Source organism: Homo sapiens, chromosome 16 (assembly GCF_000001405.40).
Source record: "Homo sapiens chromosome 16, GRCh38.p14 Primary Assembly".
Taxonomy (NCBI): domain Eukaryota; kingdom Metazoa; phylum Chordata; class Mammalia; order Primates; family Hominidae; genus Homo; species Homo sapiens.
The window spans coordinates 30,370,934-30,387,397 of NC_000016.10; the positions used below are offsets into that span (position 1 = coordinate 30,370,934).

At 54.3% G+C, this 16,464-nt stretch overlaps 3 protein-coding genes across 7 annotated transcripts in view, besides 9 other annotated features; 2 read left to right on the forward strand and 1 right to left on the reverse strand.

Moving 5' to 3' along the window:
* Positions 1–7,058, forward strand: MYL11 (myosin light chain 11). 3 transcript variants are annotated; one of them, NM_001324459.2, is made up of 9 exons: positions 1–71; positions 1,945–2,083; positions 3,889–3,927; positions 4,887–4,979; positions 5,212–5,287; positions 5,490–5,594; positions 5,687–5,765; positions 6,721–6,769; positions 6,863–7,058. In NM_001324459.2, exons 3-9 carry the CDS (start codon positions 3,925–3,927, stop codon positions 6,965–6,967), a joined length of 510 nt encoding a protein of 169 aa, NP_001311388.1. In that variant the 5' UTR covers positions 1–71; positions 1,945–2,083; positions 3,889–3,924; the 3' UTR covers positions 6,968–7,058. The 3 variants fall into 3 exon arrangements, with proteins under 3 accessions (NP_001311388.1, NP_001311387.1, NP_037424.2); NM_001324458.2 differs by lacking the exon at positions 1–71 and adding an exon at positions 1,361–1,427; NM_013292.5 differs by lacking the exons at positions 1–71; positions 1,945–2,083 and having other exon boundaries at positions 3,869–3,927.
* Positions 6,775–7,069: an enhancer, noted in NCBI's record as "tiled region #9884; HepG2 Activating DNase matched - State 1:Tss, and K562 Activating DNase unmatched - State 1:Tss". NCBI's record gives its function as "activates a minimal TATA promoter and a strong SV40 promoter by Sharpr-MPRA in HepG2 and K562 cells {active_cell/tissue: HepG2 | K562}" and the evidence as "EXISTENCE:reporter gene assay evidence [ECO:0000049][PMID:27701403]".
* Positions 6,775–7,257: a biological region, named in NCBI's record as "Sharpr-MPRA regulatory region 9884".
* Positions 6,918–7,257: an enhancer, noted in NCBI's record as "active region_10699". NCBI's record gives its function as "activates an Ori minimal core promoter by ATAC-STARR-seq in GM12878 lymphoblastoid cells {active_cell/tissue: GM12878}" and the evidence as "EXISTENCE:reporter gene assay evidence [ECO:0000049][PMID:35858748]".
* Positions 7,202–11,882, reverse strand: SEPTIN1 (septin 1). 2 transcript variants are annotated; one of them, NM_052838.6, is made up of 12 exons: positions 11,802–11,882; positions 11,592–11,665; positions 11,342–11,432; positions 11,160–11,246; positions 10,827–10,950; positions 10,406–10,540; positions 10,194–10,311; positions 8,999–9,100; positions 8,502–8,601; positions 8,085–8,250; positions 7,677–7,767; positions 7,202–7,587 (listed from the first exon to the last, which is right to left on the reverse strand). In NM_052838.6, exons 2-12 carry the CDS (start codon positions 11,607–11,609, stop codon positions 7,501–7,503), a joined length of 1,119 nt encoding a protein of 372 aa, NP_443070.6. In that variant the 5' UTR covers positions 11,610–11,665; positions 11,802–11,882; the 3' UTR covers positions 7,202–7,500. The 2 variants fall into 2 exon arrangements, with proteins under 2 accessions (NP_443070.6, NP_001352906.1); NM_001365977.2 differs by lacking the exon at positions 11,802–11,882 and having other exon boundaries at positions 11,592–11,628.
* Positions 7,238–7,577: a silencer, noted in NCBI's record as "silent region_7365". NCBI's record gives its function as "represses an Ori minimal core promoter by ATAC-STARR-seq in GM12878 lymphoblastoid cells {active_cell/tissue: GM12878}" and the evidence as "EXISTENCE:reporter gene assay evidence [ECO:0000049][PMID:35858748]".
* ZNF48 (zinc finger protein 48) overlaps positions 7,379–16,464 on the forward strand; it is a 21,797-nt gene continuing 12,711 nt past the window's right edge. Inside the window, exon 1 of one of the 2 annotated variants that reach the window (NM_001214906.1) lies at positions 7,379–7,477. The gene's annotated coding sequence lies outside the window, so the exon portion shown is untranslated. The remainder of the gene's footprint in view (positions 7,478–16,464) is intronic. The other variant, NM_001214907.1, reaches the window with a different exon arrangement.
* Positions 7,648–7,707: an enhancer, noted in NCBI's record as "active region_10700". NCBI's record gives its function as "activates an Ori minimal core promoter by ATAC-STARR-seq in GM12878 lymphoblastoid cells {active_cell/tissue: GM12878}" and the evidence as "EXISTENCE:reporter gene assay evidence [ECO:0000049][PMID:35858748]".
* Positions 7,848–7,957: a silencer, noted in NCBI's record as "silent region_7366". NCBI's record gives its function as "represses an Ori minimal core promoter by ATAC-STARR-seq in GM12878 lymphoblastoid cells {active_cell/tissue: GM12878}" and the evidence as "EXISTENCE:reporter gene assay evidence [ECO:0000049][PMID:35858748]".
* Positions 7,848–8,436: a biological region, named in NCBI's record as "H3K27ac-H3K4me1 hESC enhancer GRCh37_chr16:30390133-30390690".
* Positions 7,879–8,436: an enhancer, noted in NCBI's record as "H3K27ac-H3K4me1 hESC enhancer chr16:30390133-30390690 (GRCh37/hg19 assembly coordinates)". NCBI's record gives its function as "activates a minimal SCP1, AML or CMV promoter by ChIP-STARR-seq in primed H9 embryonic stem cells {active_cell/tissue: H9 hESC(primed)}" and the evidence as "EXISTENCE:reporter gene assay evidence [ECO:0000049][PMID:30033119]".
* Positions 8,437–8,994: an enhancer, noted in NCBI's record as "H3K27ac-H3K4me1 hESC enhancer chr16:30390691-30391248 (GRCh37/hg19 assembly coordinates)". NCBI's record gives its function as "activates a minimal SCP1, AML or CMV promoter by ChIP-STARR-seq in naive and primed H9 embryonic stem cells {active_cell/tissue: H9 hESC(naive and primed)}" and the evidence as "EXISTENCE:reporter gene assay evidence [ECO:0000049][PMID:30033119]".

A 16,464-nucleotide genomic window follows, 5' to 3' on the forward strand; every position in this document is an offset into this window, starting at 1 on the left:
ATTTAGGCGGTGACAGACAGCATCCGCAGTCAATAGGAAGAGCTGAAGAATTCTTTAGGTCTCCCAAAATGGTCAGTAAGGAATGACAGCTGGGAGGAGGCGGGGCAAGCTAGAGATTAATTCGCCCCGTCAGCCAATGATCGTGTTCTCCCACTTTGGCCACAGGACAGGAAAATAGATAGCTGTCTCAGCCAATGGGAGCATCCAAAGGGCAAAGATGCTGCCAGCAGGCGGTGCCAGCCCAGGGATAGTCGGTGACAACCGGAGACAAGCCTTATGGGAGGGTGACAGCTGGGGACAGCACGGAGAAGGGGCGGGGGCATTAGTGCAGCCCTCAACCAATGAGTGCCGCGCTGCCCCCTCTCGAGTCCTTTCCGGTCCCCTATTCTTCGTTCAGCTCCTGAGCCCCACACTCTGGTGGTCTGTGGGACCCTGAGCCCCACCACAGATCCAGTGCCCTGACCCAGTACTCTCATCCTTTACTCTATAATTCTCCGATCTCGGCCCCCAACTAACCCCAACACTCCAGGCCCAGGTGGCAATAGCCAGAGCCCCCAGATCCTATAAGCAACCCATATCTCTGCTTCACCCATTTCCTGCGGGAATCCCAACCTCCAAGTCCCTCTCCTCAGTTCCCATCTATCTGAGCTCCTCCCCAGAACCCAGGCTCCAGTTCCTCAGACCTTATCCCTCTGAGTACCCCCTCCATTTCTTCTAGTGGGGATCTCAAACCCCAAATCCATGAATCCCTAATACCATGAACTCCCCATATGTGTGTTACTATTCTTTTGGGGATCCAAGGCCCCAGTCCCGTCAACCCCTCTCCCCTCACTGCCACATCCCTCTGTGCTCCTCATGTTCCACTGAGAATCCCGACCTCAATCTCATGAGCGCTCCAGGTTGTCCTTAGATCACAAGCATAAAGACCTGACGTTATGAGCTCCAACCTTCCAACTTCTAAACGCCCTCTTCTTTCTCTGACCCCCATATTCTGATTTCCATATAGCATCCACCATCCTGGAATTCCAGTGAGACCTAGCTCCCGACTTCTCAGCTCCTCCTTGGTTTCTGAGTCCTCTAAGGTCCCTCACTCCCAACTCAGCCCCATGTCCTGTCAATTCCCACTCAGTGTCTGATCTCCTTCTCCTCACCTTTCCCATCTCCCGTTTGACCCAAGCTTCCTGAGCTCTCCTCCCATTCCCCTTTTTGGAGTCCTCCTCCTCTCCCAGAACCCAGTAATAAGTGGGCTCCTCCCTGGCCTGGACCCCCGTGGTAACCCTATAAGGCGAGGCAGCTGCTGTCTGAGGCAGGGAGGGGCTGGTGTGGGAGGCTAAGGGCAGCTGCTAAGTTTAGGGTGGCTCCTTCTCTCTTCTTAGAGACAACAGGTGGCTGGGGCCTCAGTGCCCAGAAAAGAAAATGTCTTAGAGGTATCGGCATGGGCCTGGAGGAGGGGGGACAGGGCAGGGGGAGGCATCTTCCTCAGGACATCGGGTCCTAGAGGGAGCGGGAGGAGAAGGAGATGGTTGTCCTTGCCAACTTGGGGCTTCCTCAGCCACTATTTTTCCAGACTTCTGCTGCATGGAGGGGACTGGGTCACTGAGGCCCAGAGGGAGAAGAGAGGGTACATCAAAGTCACACAATCAGCCAAGCTGGCTCTTGGCCAGAATAAAGTGAGCTGCCACTGGCTATCAAGGCACCTCACAGAAAGTGACCAGCTGGCTGTCCTTTTAGGGTCTTTTCCTCCCCTCTTGAGTTCCAGCCTCCACACCAGTACCCAGAGAAAATATTCTAGACTCATACTAGATCACATCCTTCTTCTGCATGAAACCTTTCCAAGGTTCCCCAGGGTCTCCGTCCTGTGCCTGGCAAAGGCCCCTCAGGGGCTGGTCACCAGCCCCATCACAATTCTGGCCACCTGAACACTTCTGATCTTCCGCTCTCCAGGCCTTTGCTCAGGCCATGCCCTCCGCCCAGCACATCTGCTCCTCCACCTGCACCTGACTCCCTGGCCCTCGTGAAGCCACTCCCATACTCCTAGACAGGGCTGCTGCGCCCTCCACTTCTGGGCTCCTGACCAGCTCTGGTATGTCAGTTTCTGCATTCATTCCTGTCTCTATTAGTTATAAGGCAAGTTCTGTGGGATGGGAACTACATCTCCCTTTTACAGAGGGGAAACCAAGGCCCAGCACAAAACCTGAGACCACAAAGCATCTTGCCTCAAAAAATCCCTCTTGGCTCGGCGCGGTGGCTCATGCCTGTAATCCCAGCACTTTGAGCACTTTGGGAGGTCGAGACGGGTGGATCATCTGAAGTCGGAATTCAAGACCAGCCTGGCCAACATGGTGAAACGCCATCTCTACTAAAAATACAAAAAATTAGATGCCGGGCACGGTGGCTCACGCCTGTAATCCCAGCACTTTGGGAGGCCGAGGCAGGCAGATCACAAGGTCAGGAGATCGAGATCATCCTGGCTAACGCGGGGAAACCCCGTCTCTACTAAAAATACAAAAAAATTAGGCGGGCGTGGTGACACGCGCCTGTAGTCCCAGCTACTCGGGAGGCTGAAGCAGGAGAATCACTTGAACCCGGGAGGCGGAGGTTACAGTGAGCCAAGATCACGCCACTGCACTCCAGCCCGGATAACAAAACGAGACTTCATCTCAAAAAAAAAAAAAAAAAGTAGCTGGGCATGGTGGCGGGTGCCTGGAATCCCAGCTACTCAGGAGGCTGAGGCAGAAGTATCGCTTGAACCCAGAAGGCGGAGGTTGCAGTAAGCCGAGATCGCACCATTGCACTCCCACCTGGGTGACAAGAGCAAGACTCCATCTCAAAAAAAAAAAAAAAGAAAGAAAAGAAAAAAAAATTCCCCTCTCCTTGAAGGGAGGTAGGAGACCCACCTGATCCCTCAGCTTCCACAGATGGCTCTTTCTCACCACCCTCACACTTACACACACTTGACTATGAACTCCACCATGTGGGGGTGGAGGGATTGTGTCTGCCAAAGTACATCCACAAAGCCCAGCCTAGCACGTGGCACACTGTGTGTGTTCAATACATGTTTACTGGGTTTATTTTATTAATTTAAAATAGAGACGGGGGCCAGGCGCAGTGGCTCACACCTGTAATCCCAGCACTTTGGGAGGCCTAGGTGGATGGATCACCAGGTCAGAAGATTGAGACCACTCTGGCCGACACGGTGAAACCCTGTCTCTACTAAAAATACAGAAAAAAAAAATTAGCCTGGCTTCGTGGCACACCTATAATCCCAGCTACTCGGGAGGCCAAGATAGGAGAATCACTTGAACAGGGGAGGTGGAGGTTGCAGTGAACCGAGATCACACTACTGGCACTCTAGCCTGGGAGACAGAGCGAGACTGTCTAAAAAAAAAAAAAAGGGAGACAGGGGTCTCACTATGTTGCCCAGGCTGGTCCTGAACTCCTGGCCTCAAGCAATCCTCCTGCCTCAGCTTCCCAAAGTGCTGGGATTACAGGTGTGAACCACTGCACCCAGACGTTTACTGGGTTTAAATCTGAGCCCACCCCACTCAGGGGTACAGGATCTGGTTCATTTATCTCCCAGAATGATGCCTTGGGTTGCGTCCCCTCTAAACTCTGGCACATTCCAGCCCCTCTTTGGGAGAAAGAACATCTCTTCTTGCCCAGGCCCTAGTGAGACATGCATCGCAAGACATGCTCCCCCCTTCCTCCCCGCTGGGCTCCAGCTGCTGCCAGCCCTCCAAGAAAGGAGAGGCCCTGAGTTGGGCTATTTTGGTATCTGGGGTGGGCACCCGCAGGGCTAAGGTTACCTTGGTATGTTAAGGGCTCCCTGGGGCAGGACTATATAACCCCAGAGGGACTGCCCCATGCTGACTCCTTGCTTCTTTCCAGCCGGAGCCGCTGCCTTGCCCCCCGGAGACTGAAGACATGGTGAGTGAGAATCCTCCAACCCCTGCCCAGATCCCTTAGACCTCAGGGCAGCCTCACCCTTTGAAAGAAAGTAGCTGGTTCCCAGTCCAACAAAAAGTTAAAAGGATGCTCATCTCTTTCTCGGCATCACTGATGGAAAACAGACTGTGTGATGGCCTAAAGGATCCAATCAATGATAATCCGCCCAGACATTCAACTCACAGGGGCCCAGTCCCTCTCAAAGCCTGATCCATTCATTCCTGTACTCCATCTTCCTAAGGCCCTCTGGCACCAGCCAGGCAATAACTCCCATCCCATTTTACAAATGAGAAAGTAGAGGCTCAGGCCAGGTGCTGTGGTTCACGCCTGTAATCCCAGCACTTTGGGAGGCCAAGGTGGTTGGATCACTTGAAGCCAGGAGTTCGAGACCAGCCTGGCCAACAGGCGAAACCCCGTCTCTACTAAAAATACAAAAATTAACTGGGCGTGGTGGTGCATGCCTGTAATCCCAGCTACTACGGAGGCTGGGGCATAAGAATCGCTTGAACCCGGGAGGCAGAGGTTGCGGTAAGCCGAGATCGCAGCACCGCACTCCAGCCTGGGTGACAGAGCAAGACTCTGTCTCAAAAAAAAAAAAAAAAAGAAAAGAAAAGTAGAGGCTCAAACAGGGCAAATGAGTGGCTGGGGTCACACAGCAAGTCTGAGGCTCAGAGGAGCTAGGCTCAGGACACTGAGAAGATAAGGAAGCTTCCACCCATTGTGGGGGATGGAGAGTTGGAGACCCAGGAGCCACAGACGGGAATTTGGGGAATGCAATCAAAGCAAGCCCCCTCAGCAAAGAGGTCCCAAGGAAGGGGAGACTCAGGCCAAAGGGCTGCTTTAGGAACAGGGACTCGAAGAATTCTGACTCTTAATCCATTGCCCCCAGAGAGGTGGAGGGACTGGTCCATGGGCCCCTTTGTTCAACCCTCACCCTCCAGGCACCCAAGAGGGCCAAGAGAAGGACAGTAGAGGGCGGAAGCTCCAGCGTCTTCTCCATGTTCGACCAGACTCAGATCCAGGAGTTCAAAGAGGTGGGTGAGGGGACGGGGAAACTGGAAGGCTGACCAAAAGCAGCCCTGCTGGCCCTCTCCCTGGAATGTGCACCTGCTTGAAGGAGGGGAAAGGTTTAGAATTCCTTCCTCCCCTCTCTGCTTGGGGTGGAAGAGGACAGTTGGCTGAGAGCCAGCATCTGATCCTCCTGGGGTAGGGATGCTGAGGCTGGGCCATGGGGGACCTAACCCTCCCCACCACGGCCCTCCCCAGGCCTTCACTGTGATCGACCAGAACCGTGATGGTATTATAGACAAGGAGGACCTTCGGGACACCTTCGCAGCCATGGGTGAGCCCCCTACCCCCAGGTGGGAATATTCAAGGCTGCAGAGTCTAGGAAATTCAGTGGCCTTGGGTTCCAGCCCTGTCAGCTCCACCTTGGGCCTCAGTCTACCCAGCTGAAAAATGAATGGGATCAGCTGAATTAGTGGGAAGCGCAGGCCCGGCCCCAGGAGCCTGCTCCAGCCCATGCTTCCCCCAACCCCCTCCAGGCCGCCTCAATGTGAAGAATGAGGAGTTGGATGCCATGATGAAGGAAGCCAGCGGTCCCATCAACTTCACCGTCTTCCTGACCATGTTCGGGGAGAAGCTCAAGGGTGAGTGGAGTGTCCTGGGTCCAAGGCCCCGGCTGCCTTTTCCCAGACCCTTCAGGGACCCATCAGCTTCATGTGCCCTCTGACCCCCACAGGTGCCGACCCTGAGGATGTGATCACCGGAGCCTTCAAGGTCTTGGACCCTGAGGGAAAGGGCACCATCAAGAAGAAGTTGTAAGCATCGGCTCCCCCACCCTTCCGACCCTTCCCCCACTCCACCAGCTGCTCCCACACTGACAGCCTCCTTAAATTTCTACCAAGGCTGGGCCCTGTGGCTCAGGCCTATAATCCCAGTGCTTTGGGAGGCAGAGGCAGGAGGATTTACTTGAGGACAGGAGTTTGAGATCAGCCTGGATAACACAGCATGACCCTGTTTCTAAAAACTTAACTAAAAAATTCGTGGGCTGGCCGGGCACAGTGGCTCATGCCTGTAATCCCAGCACTTTGGGAGGCCAAGGCGGGCGGATCATGTGAGGTCAGGAGTCCAAGAACAGCCTGGCCAACACGGTGAAACCCCGTCTCTACTAAAAATACAAAAATTAGCTGGGCGTGGTGGCGGGCGCCTGTAGTCCCAGCTACTAGGGAGACTGGGACATGAGAATCGCTTGAACCCTGGAGTCGGAGGTTGCAGTGAGCCAAGATCACGCCACTGCCCTCCAACCTGGGCGACAATAGCAAAACTCCGTCTCCAAAAAAAAGAAAAAAAAAAATTCGCGGGAGTGGTGGCAAACACCTATAGTCCCAGCTACTCCGGAGGCTGAGGCAGGAAGATCCCTTGAGCCCAAGAGTTCCAGGTTGCAGTGAGCCGTGATCAAACCACTGCATTCCAGCCTGGGCGACAGGGTGAGACCCTGTCTCAAAACAAACAAAAACCCAAAAATTCCTACGAAGGGTTAGGCACTGCCAGAGGTAAGGGAGTAGTTAAGATTGTGGTAATGGGCGGTAAGATTGCATTTTCACAGCAAATGTGGGCGGAGAGGGCAAAAGCGAGTGTCTGGGAGGCCAATGAAGGAAGTAGAGTGACCTGGGTTTTCAGGGGAGGCTGGGGCTGGCATCGGGGATGAGGTGCGAGGGAGTGGAAAGGAACCAGGAACCCAATCGCAACTCCCCTTGTGTCACCTCTCTCCAGCCTGGAGGAGCTGCTGACCACGCAGTGTGACCGCTTCTCCCAGGAGGAGGTGAGTGGGGACCGGGGCGGGGCCGGAGCAGCAAAGGGGCTGGGGCCGGGGAGACTAAGGGCCTGTGCGAGACGCCCCTACGTCTTTCCCCAGATCAAGAACATGTGGGCGGCCTTCCCCCCCGACGTGGGCGGCAACGTCGACTACAAAAACATCTGCTACGTCATCACGCACGGCGACGCCAAGGACCAGGAGTAGGGGCACCCGCGGGCCTCCGCTGCCCGACGCTTCTGTTCGGCCCGACCTCCACCCCGGCTCCCAATAAAATTTAACTGATCTTTGTTTCTTATGGGCGGCGCCTTCAGAGTGTCTGCGCGAGGGCCTCAGGTGGGAGCGCCCCACAAATGAATGGATGCGGCCTGGAGGCCTGCGGGGGTCGGCCCCACAATCTACGCCCGCCGCCTTTTTCCGCAAGGAAGGAGAAGGCTCGCGTGGCCGCGGGAAGCTCAGTTTTTATTGAAGACAGAGTCTGGGAGAAGAAGGGGGACTCCGGAAGACAGTGATGCGGTCGGAGATTGTGCAGGCCCCGGGCCGGGAAGTGGGCGGTGTCTGGGTGGGCGGGACCAGCGCCGGGGCGGGGCTACGGACTCAGGCTGGGAGAACCTCCCCCTAGCCCGCGCGAGGGCGGCACCCGCGGAGGTCCCGGGGGGCGCTGGGCAGTGTGGGGCGCGGGGATTGGACAAGAGGCCGACTGAAGGCGGAGCCGAGGTAAGGCCGGGCGGGGCGTGGCCTCAGAGGGCGTCTGACTGCTCGCCCTGGGCCTGGCTCTGCTGCATTTGGGCCTGCATCTTCTCCAGCATCTCTTGCATGCGGCGCAGCTGTGCAGGGCGAGATTGCAGGCGGTGACCTGGCGAAGCCAGAGGGGGACCTGGGGCATCGGTCGGGGGGAAGCGAGGTGCGTGCTCACCTCTTCGTCTTTCTCGCGGATCAGCTTCTCGGTGTCCGCCAGAGGCAGCATGGGCAGCGGGATCTCTGTGGCGCTCTGGCGGGAAAGCTTACTGCGGGACAGTGGGAAGGGGACAGGAATCAGGAGCGGGACCTGAGGTTGTGGGTGAGGCCCAGGAGGCAGGGCCTGGGGCGAGGTTGGGGTCTAGGAGGCGGAGCCAGTTCCTTGAGGTTAGGGCCGGAGGCAAAGCGGGTGGGGAGAGAGGGGGAGAGAGGGAGAGACGGAGAGAGGGAGGGAGGGAGGGAGGGAGGGAGAGAGAAGTCTGAGTGGTGAAGGCGGAGTCACGGGTGGTGGGGACGAGTCCTCAGGGCGGGGTCATGGGTGAGGCGGGACCTTGGAGGCTCTGATACTGTCCGCCCCGGGTCTCACCTGCGGCTGGCTCGATCGCGAGCCCCAGGCCGGGCCAGGCTCTGTAGGCAGCGGGCCCGGTAGCCCTCGTAGAGCAGATCGTGCGTCACCTCTTTCAGGTCCTGCAGGTGTGTCTGCACCAGCATCCGTCGCAGGTTCAGGAAATCGCAGTGATGTGGGTTCTCCACTGGAGGGGGGGCGGCGCGGACCAGCGAACGTCAGGGAGTTTCGGGTCCAACCCACCCGTAAGGGTCGGGTCTACAGGAAAGTCCTGCTGCCACTCTAGCGGAGGGTCCGCGGTCTGCAGCCCAGCGACCCCCCTTTCCTCCTAGGATCCCCTGGGACCAAAGCCCACCCCAACTTCACATGTTGAGTGCGCCTGACCCAGAGGCCCCGGGCTCCCTGCTGGCCTTAGGACCCCTGCCTGGCCTCACTCACCCTCCACGGTCCCCCAGGAGTAGCGGCGTCCCCTCACCGGCCGGTTCCCGCCATCCCTCACCACCTCGCATGATCCCACGACTGCAAAAGGGATGCTTTCCTGGAGGGCAGGGGGCAGGGGTTCACCATTGGCTCACACGGCAGAAACTTTCTCTTTCCCAGCTTCAATCTCCACACCCGCCTCCTCTGCTTCCTGCCCCTTCCTCTTTTTTTTTTTTTTTTTTTTTTTTTTGAGACAGGGTCTCACTCCATTGCCCAGGCTGGAGTGTTCAAGTGATTCTCCTGCCTCAGCCTCCCGAGTAGCTGGAATTACAGGCGCCCACCATCACACCTGGCAAATTTGTGTATTTTTAGTAGAGGTGGGGTCTCGCCATGTTGCCCAGGCTGGTCTGGAACTCCTGACCTCAGGGGATCCTCCCGTCTCAGCCTCCCAAAGTGCTGGGATTACAGACGTGAGCCACCGTGCCCGGCCTGCCTTCCTTCTTTGTTTCCCACACCTTCATCTCTGCATCCTGCCTCTTGAAGTCTTCATCTTCATCAGAGTCACATTCGGGGAACTGGTAGATGTGGATCTCCTCTTCCTTCAACTGATCCCGGATCTCAGGGGAAACAGATATAGAGACAGTGTGAAACGGGCCACAATGACAGACATTTCATGACCAGAGACAGTGAGACACAGAGATACTGGGTGGTCAGAGACAGAGAGAAAGACATGAAAGACAGAGATGGGGAGAGATGGACATACAGGAAGACAAAAACAAAATCTCAGAGACATAGATGGTGAGAAACACAAGATTCTAAGATGGGGCAGACATTAAGAGACCAGGAGAAGCCTGGGCAATATAGCTAGATCCCATCTCTACAACAAATATACACATATATTTTGAAACAAGGTTTCACTCTATCACCCAGGCTGGAGTCCAGTGGCTCCATCTTGGTTCACTGCAGCCTCAACCTCTCAGGCTCAGGTGATCCTCCCATCTCAGCCTCCTGAGTAACTGGGACTACAAGTGCACACCACCACACCTGGCTGGTTTTTGTACTTTTTGTAGAGATGGGGTTTTACCATGTTGCCGTGGCTTGTCTTAAACTCTTCAGCTCAAGCAGTCCACTGACCTCAGCCTCCCAAAGTGCTGGGATTAACAGGTGTCTGCCACCAAGCCCAGCCAAAAAAATATTTTTTAAGTTAGCCAGGCATGGTGGTGTTCATCTATAGTCCCTGCTACTCAAGAGGCTGAGGCAGGAGGATCACTTGCGCCTACAAGTTCGAGGCTGCAGTGAGCTCTGATCTTGCCACTGTACTGCAGCCTGGGCCACAGAGTGAGACTCTATCTAAAAAAAAAAAGAGAGAGAAAGAGAGGCCGAGAGAGATATAAGCAGAAACAGTGGGAAAGGGCTCTGAAGACACGGGGTGGGGGCCAGAGGGAAGTCACTATGTTCTCATGTCTATGCTCCTGCCCTCAAATAGGCCTCAGCCAGGCATCTAGCCCGGGGGCTGCATATGTAGCCTATTTTGAGCCTTCAGAGACATGGCTATGCTGGCGGCTTACCACCCGCCTTCCTCAGAAGCTTCTCCTACAATCTAGCCTGATGCACCATGCTCCAGAAAGGCCACTTCAAGATCAAAGAAGTCTAAGCTGAAATCAGGTTTGGCTTCACATGGGGTCAAAGGTCAGAGGTCATCACTCACACCTTCTGCTTGAGGGCCTGGGTTTCCTGGGGCATCAGAGCATCCGCTTTGCCAATGACTGGGATGATGTTGACTTTCTCGTGTACTGCCCGGAGGAAGGCCACATCTAGGGGCCGGAGCCTGCACCCAGGGATTGGTCATTGCCCAGCCTCAGGGGGCAGAGACCCCCCAGCCCTCCCTAAATGCGCCAGCCCCCAGGATCCCCCCACCAGACCCCCGGCCGAAGGGTGAGATGAAGTAGAGGCAGCAGTGGACTCGGGAGTCCTGGATGTTCTTCCGGTTCAGGCCACTCTCATCCCTAAGGTACTGCTCAAATTGCTCCTCGATGAATTTCACCACCGGAAGCCAGCTGGGTGTGGGGAGAGGATGTGAGGTCAGAGATCAAAGGCCAGAGGGCAGGGGGCAAGGCTAGCCAGGACTGTGGGAGTAGAATGTCATTTCTTTGGCTCCCTCCAAAGACATTAAGGGGAACTGGTGGGGGCCTAGGTGAGTCATCAAGAAGCACAGGGACCCAGTGGCCCTCTGAAACAGACACCACCTTTTGAGATAGGGAGCCAGCACAAACCAGTCCTGTAACTCTCCAGGGAGTCGCCACTGTGAAAGGCTGAGCCTCTGTCCCCTTTCCTCTTCCTCACCAGTCAGAGCAGTCCACTGAGTCCCCAAAGCCAGGTGTGTCCACAAGGGTCAGCTTCACTTTCACACCCCCTTCCTCAATCTCTACGCCCCGGCGCTCAATGGCCAGGGTCTGTGTCAAGCGAGCTGTGGGATGGGGGAGAGGTCAGGGATCCGGGGAGGCTCTGAGGCAGAATTAATTTCCTTTGTCAATATCACAGTTGCCTGCACCCATTTCCCAGGGGAGGAAAGTCTCAGAAAAAAAGCAGTCAACTACCTGAGTCCCCAGATGGAAAAGACTAGGGTGTAACCTGGGGACAGGGGCTACTGCCTCAAGAGGGTGGGGAGGGTCTTACCACTGGCCTCTGGCACCTGGCGATCCTCATAGAGGTTGGTGAGGAAGAGGCTGTTGATGAGGGTGGATTTCCCTAGGCCTGACTCCCCTGTGGACAGAACAGGCCCAACTGGTCAGGGGAGGGGACAGCCAGGGCCTCCTAAGGACATCCCCTCCGCAGTTCCCTCTCCAAAACCCCCAGACCTGCCACCATTAGCGTGAAGTCAAACCCCTTCTTGACAGACTTGCGGTGCAGCTGGTTGGGGAGGGCAGCAAAACCCACGTACTCCTTGTCCTATGGATGGGGGTGGACAATATGAGGCTGCTGGCAATGGCAGGCAGGGTCCCCAGGATCACTTGAGTTCCTGGGCTAGGAAGAGTCAGTGGGGTCTGGGGACCCCAGGCATGGGGGCTGGGGGCCGAGATGCCCAGGTTTCTGGGTGTAAGGACTCACCATGACTCCGCCAGCCATCACTGCACCTGCCGTCTCTCCCCACTTCCTCTGGTGGGGCAGGAAGCTGAGTGCGGCTAACAAGGGGGCGGGCAGAAGAGGCAGCTGAGATGCTCAAACTGGCCCAGTCCCAGAGAGGTGGGGAAGGCCAAGGCCAAGAACACTTGGGGTTGCCACCTCCTGGACCCCTTTGCCCATCACCTGTCTACGTACCTTCAACCCTCCATCCTTCACACATCTGGATTCCAAGTCCCACTGTAGCTCCATCATCGTGGTGAGACATGGGGTATGTGCAGAGAGGAAGGAAGTGGCTCCCTTTGTTAGCAGGGGAGATGAAGGTTTTGATGAGCTGATTAGAAAACAGTTCCCAGGACGGGCAAGGTGGCTCTCGCCTGTAATCTCAGCACTTTGGGAGGCGGAGGAGGGAGGACAGCTTGAGCCAAGGAGTTCCAGACCAGCCTGGGCAACAGAGGGACGTGCCCCTCTACCATCTCTACAAAACATTAAAAAATTAGCCAGGCATGTTGGTACAATCCTGTAGTCCCAGCTACTGGGGAGGCTGAGGTGGGAGGATTGCATGAGCCCAGAAGATCAAGACTGCAGTGAGCTGTGATCACACCACTACACTCCAGCCTGAGCAACACAGCAAAACCCTGTTTCTTTTTCTTTCTTTCTTTCTTTTTTTGAGACGGAGTCTCGCTCTGTTGCCCAGGCTGGAGTGTAGTGGCGCCATCTCGGCTCACTGCAAGCTCCACCTCCCGGGTTCCCGCCATTCTCCTGCCTCAGCCTCCCGAGTAGCTGGGACTACAGGCACCTGCTACCGCGCCTGGCTAATTTTTTTGTGTTTTTAGTAGAGACGAGATTTCACCGTGTTAGCCAGGATGGTTTCGATCTCCTGACCTCGTGATCTGCCCGCCTCGGCCTCCCAAACTGCTGGGATTACGGGCGTGAGCCACCATGCCAGGCCAACGCTGTTTCAAAAAAAGAAAAAGAAAAAAGTGGACCAGAAGCCATGATGGGATTGGGAGTGGGTGAAGCCATACATTTTCCAGCTCAGACAATGGATTCATAAAAGGACTCCAGGTCTTTGGACACCACTGCCCGAGAGATTTTCCTTCAGAATCCTGGCCAAAGAACTCCACTGCTCAAAATCCTTCAGGAACTCCCCAGTAACTCAGAGTCAAGTCTGAATTCTGGCCTGACTGCCAAAGCCTCCCTCAGCTGGCCTCATCACCCCATCTCTCACTCTTCCAAACGTCCTTGGCTCTCTACCCACATTGAGCTTTTCCTTTTTCTGAATCAGTTAAACTCTTCCTCATCCTTCAAGTGTTTCTTTCCAAGGGCTCTGCCTCTATGCAATCTCTCCACCTACCCTAGGCAGGGTCATTGTCCCTCCTTCAGATTCCCAGCACCTGGCTGGCGTGGTGGCTCACACCTGTAATCCCAGCACTTTGGGAGGCCGAGGCGGGTGGATCACTTGAGGCCAGGAGTTCAAGACCAGCCTGGCCAACATGGCGAGACCCTGTCTAGCAAAAATACAAAAATTAGCCAGGCATGGTGGTGCGTACCTATAATTCCAGCTACTTGGGAATCTGAGGCAAGAGAATTGCTTGAGCCCAGGAGGTGGAGGTTGCAGTGAGCCGAGATTGCACCGCTACACTCCATCCTGGGCAACAGAGCAAGACCCTATCTCAAACAAACAAACAAACAAACAAATCTACCTCAGGACCGCTGCGGTGGCTCACACCTGTAATCCCAGCACTTTGGGAGGCTGAGTCGGGCAGATCACGAGGTCAAGAGATTGAGACCATCCTGGCCAACATGGTGAAACCCCATCTCTACTAAAAATACAAAAAATTAGCTGGGCATGGTGGCATTGCCTGTAGTCCCAGCTACTCAGGAGGCTAAAGCAGAATTGCTTGAACCCAGGAGGTGGAGGTTGCAGCGAGCCAAGATCGTGCCACTGCACTCCAGCCTGGTGACAGAGCAAGACTCCGTCTCAAAAAACAAAAAACAAACAAACAAAAATGCTACTTAATACCATCTAGGGACTGTTAAGAATCTGGAAAGGGGGGCTGGGTGCGGTGGCTCATGCCTGTAATTCCAGCATTTTGGGAGGACAGGGCAGTCGGATCACTTGAGGCCAGGAGTTCGAGACCAGCCTGGCCAACATGGTGAAACCCCCGTCTCTACTAAGAATACAAAAATTAGCCAGGCATGGTGGTGCACGCCTGTAATCACAGCTACTAGGGAGGCTGAGGCAGGAGAATTGCTAGAACCTGAGAGGCGTAGGTTGCAGTGAGCCAAGATCCTGCCACTGCACTCCAGCCTGGGCGACAGGGCAAGACTCCGTCTCAAAAAAATAAATAAGTAGGCCAGGCGCGGTGGCTCATGCCTGTAATCCCAGCACTTTGGGAGGCTGAGTCAGGCAGATCACCTGTGGTCAGGAGTTCGAGACCAGCCTGAGCAACATGGAGAAACCCTGACTCTACTAAAAATACAAAATTAGCAGGGCGTGATGGCGCATGCCTGTAATCCCAGCTACACGGGAGCTGAAGCAGGAGAATCACTTGAACCTGGGAGGTGAAGTTTGCGGTGAGCTGAGATTGTGCCATTGCACTCCAATCTGGGCAACAAGAGCAAAACTCTTTCTCAAATAATAATAATAATAATAATAATAATAATAATAATAATAATAATATAAATAAATAAATAAGCAAAGGGCAGGGATCATGTTACCTCTCAGCACTCCACCACCGGCCTTCCTCCTGCATCTCTCACCAGGTTGAGCATCTCTATGGTCTTAGTTAAAATTCTGAAATCAGCCGGGTGTGGTGGTTCACGCCTGTAATCCCAGGACTTGGGGAGGCCAAGGCAGGCAGATCAGAAGGTCAGGAGATCGAGACCATCCTGGCCAACATGGTGAAACCCCGTCTCTACTAAAAATACAAAAATTAGTTGGATGTGGTGGCGCGTGCCTGTAATCCCAGCTACTTGGGAGGCTGAGGCACAAGAATCACTTGAACCCAGGAGGCGCAGGTTGCAGTGAGCCAAGATCACACCACTGCACTCCAGCCTGGCGACAGAGCAAGACTCTGTCTCAAAAAAAAGGAAAAAAAACTTTCTGAACTCCTCCCACTCTCACTCCCCACAAGTGTTTCCAGTGAGTTTCCAATTCCCACCTATCCTTCAGAAAAATTGGTCCCCTTTTCTTCACACTCTCCATGCCATTAACCTGCTTTGGGTTCAGACCCTGATCAACTCTTCTCTGAGTTATTCAACAGCCTTTGACAGAATAACATGTTTAAAGGAAAAAAAAAAATGTTGGGCGTGGTGGTTCACGCCTGTAATCCCAGTGCTTTGGGAGGCTGAGGTGGGAGGATTGCTTGAGGCTAGGAGTTCAAGACCAGTCTGGTCAACATAGCAAGACCCGATCTGTATTAAAAAAATAAATAAAAAAGAGGATAACATGTAGGCCAGGCAGTGGCTCATGTCTGTAATCTCAGCACTTTGGGAGGCCGAGGTGGGAGGATCACTTGAGGCCAGGAGTTTGAGACCAGCCTGAGCAACACAGTGAGATCCTGTCTTTACAAATTAAAAAAAAAAAATTAGCTGGGCATCGTGGTGCACAATTGTTGCCCCAGCTAGTTGGGAGGTTGAGGCAGGAGGATCACTTGAGCCCAGGAATTTGAGGCTGCAATGAGTCATTGTGGTGTCACTACACTTTAGCATGGGTGACAGAGCGAGACCCTGTCTCAAAAAAAATACAAAATTTAGGATGATATATATTTATCTGTTTATTGTACAACCAACACATGTTTTCATAGAAAAATTATAAAATGCAATTGAAATATAAACATTTAAATGTGGGCCGGGAGTGGTGGCTCATGCCTGTAATCCCAGCACTTTGGGAGGCTGAGGCAGGAGGATGGCTTAAGCTCAGGAATTCGAGACCAGCCTGGGGAACATGGTGAAACCCCATGTCTACAAAAAATACAAAAATTAGCTGGGCATGGTGGCATGCACCTGTGGTCCCAGCTACTCAGAAGGCTGAGGTGGGAGGATCGTCCAGTCTGTGTGACAGAGCCAGACCCTACCTCGAAAAAAATATATTTTTTAATGTGATATCACCATTTTTTTTTTCTTGAGATGGAGTTTCGCCCTTGTAGTTTCGCTCTTGTTGTCCAAGCTGGAGTGCAATGGTGTGATCTCGGCTCACTGCAACCTCTGCCTCCCGGGTTCAAGTGATTTTCCTGCCTCAGCCTCCCGAGTAGCTAGGATTACAGGCATGTGCCACCACGCCCAGGTAATTTTGTATTTTTAGTAGAGATGGGGTTTCACCATGTTGGTCAGGCTGGTCTTGAACTTCCGGCATCCCAAAGTGCTGGGATTACAGGTATGAGCCACTGCACCTGGCCTTTTTTTTTTTTTTTTTTTTTGAGACAGAGTCTTGCTCTGTCACTCAGGCCGGAGTGCAGTGGCACGATCTTGGCTCACTGCAAGCTCTGCCTCCAGGGTTCACGCCATTCTCCTGCCTCAGCCTCCCGAATAGCTGGGACTACAGGTGCCCACCACCATGCCTGGCTAATTTTTTTGTATTTTTAGTAGAGACAGGGTTTCACCGTGTTAGCCAGGATGGTCTCGATCTCCTGACCTTGTGATCCGCCCGCCTTGGCCTCCCAAAGTGCTGGGATTACAGGCGTGAGCCACCGCGCCCGGCCTTTTTTTTTTTTTTTTAAAGACAGTGTTTCGGCGGGGCGCCATGGCTCACTCCTGTAATCCCAGCACTTTGGGAGGCCTAGGTGGGCGGTTCACCTGATGTCGGGAGTTCAAGGCCAGCCTGGCCAACATGTTGAAATCCTGTCTCTACTAAAAA

What these genes read in the sequence shown, in the direction of transcription:
- SEPTIN1 (NM_052838.6), bottom strand. An exon ending in ATCTCACCCTTCGGCCGGGG is followed by an intron (nt 10,312 to 10,405) that starts GTCTGGTGGGGG and finishes CCCTGGGTGCAG; the next exon opens with GCTCCGGCCCCTAGATGTGG. An exon ending in CGCGATCGAGCCAGCCGCAG is followed by an intron (nt 7,768 to 8,084) that starts GTGAGACCCGGG and finishes ACTGTCCCGCAG; the next exon opens with TAAGCTTTCCCGCCAGAGCG.
- MYL11 (NM_001324459.2), top strand. An exon ending in GGACACCTTCGCAGCCATGG is followed by an intron (nt 5,288 to 5,489) that starts GTGAGCCCCCTA and finishes AACCCCCTCCAG; the next exon opens with GCCGCCTCAATGTGAAGAAT. An exon ending in GTTCGGGGAGAAGCTCAAGG is followed by an intron (nt 5,595 to 5,686) that starts GTGAGTGGAGTG and finishes TGACCCCCACAG; the next exon opens with GTGCCGACCCTGAGGATGTG.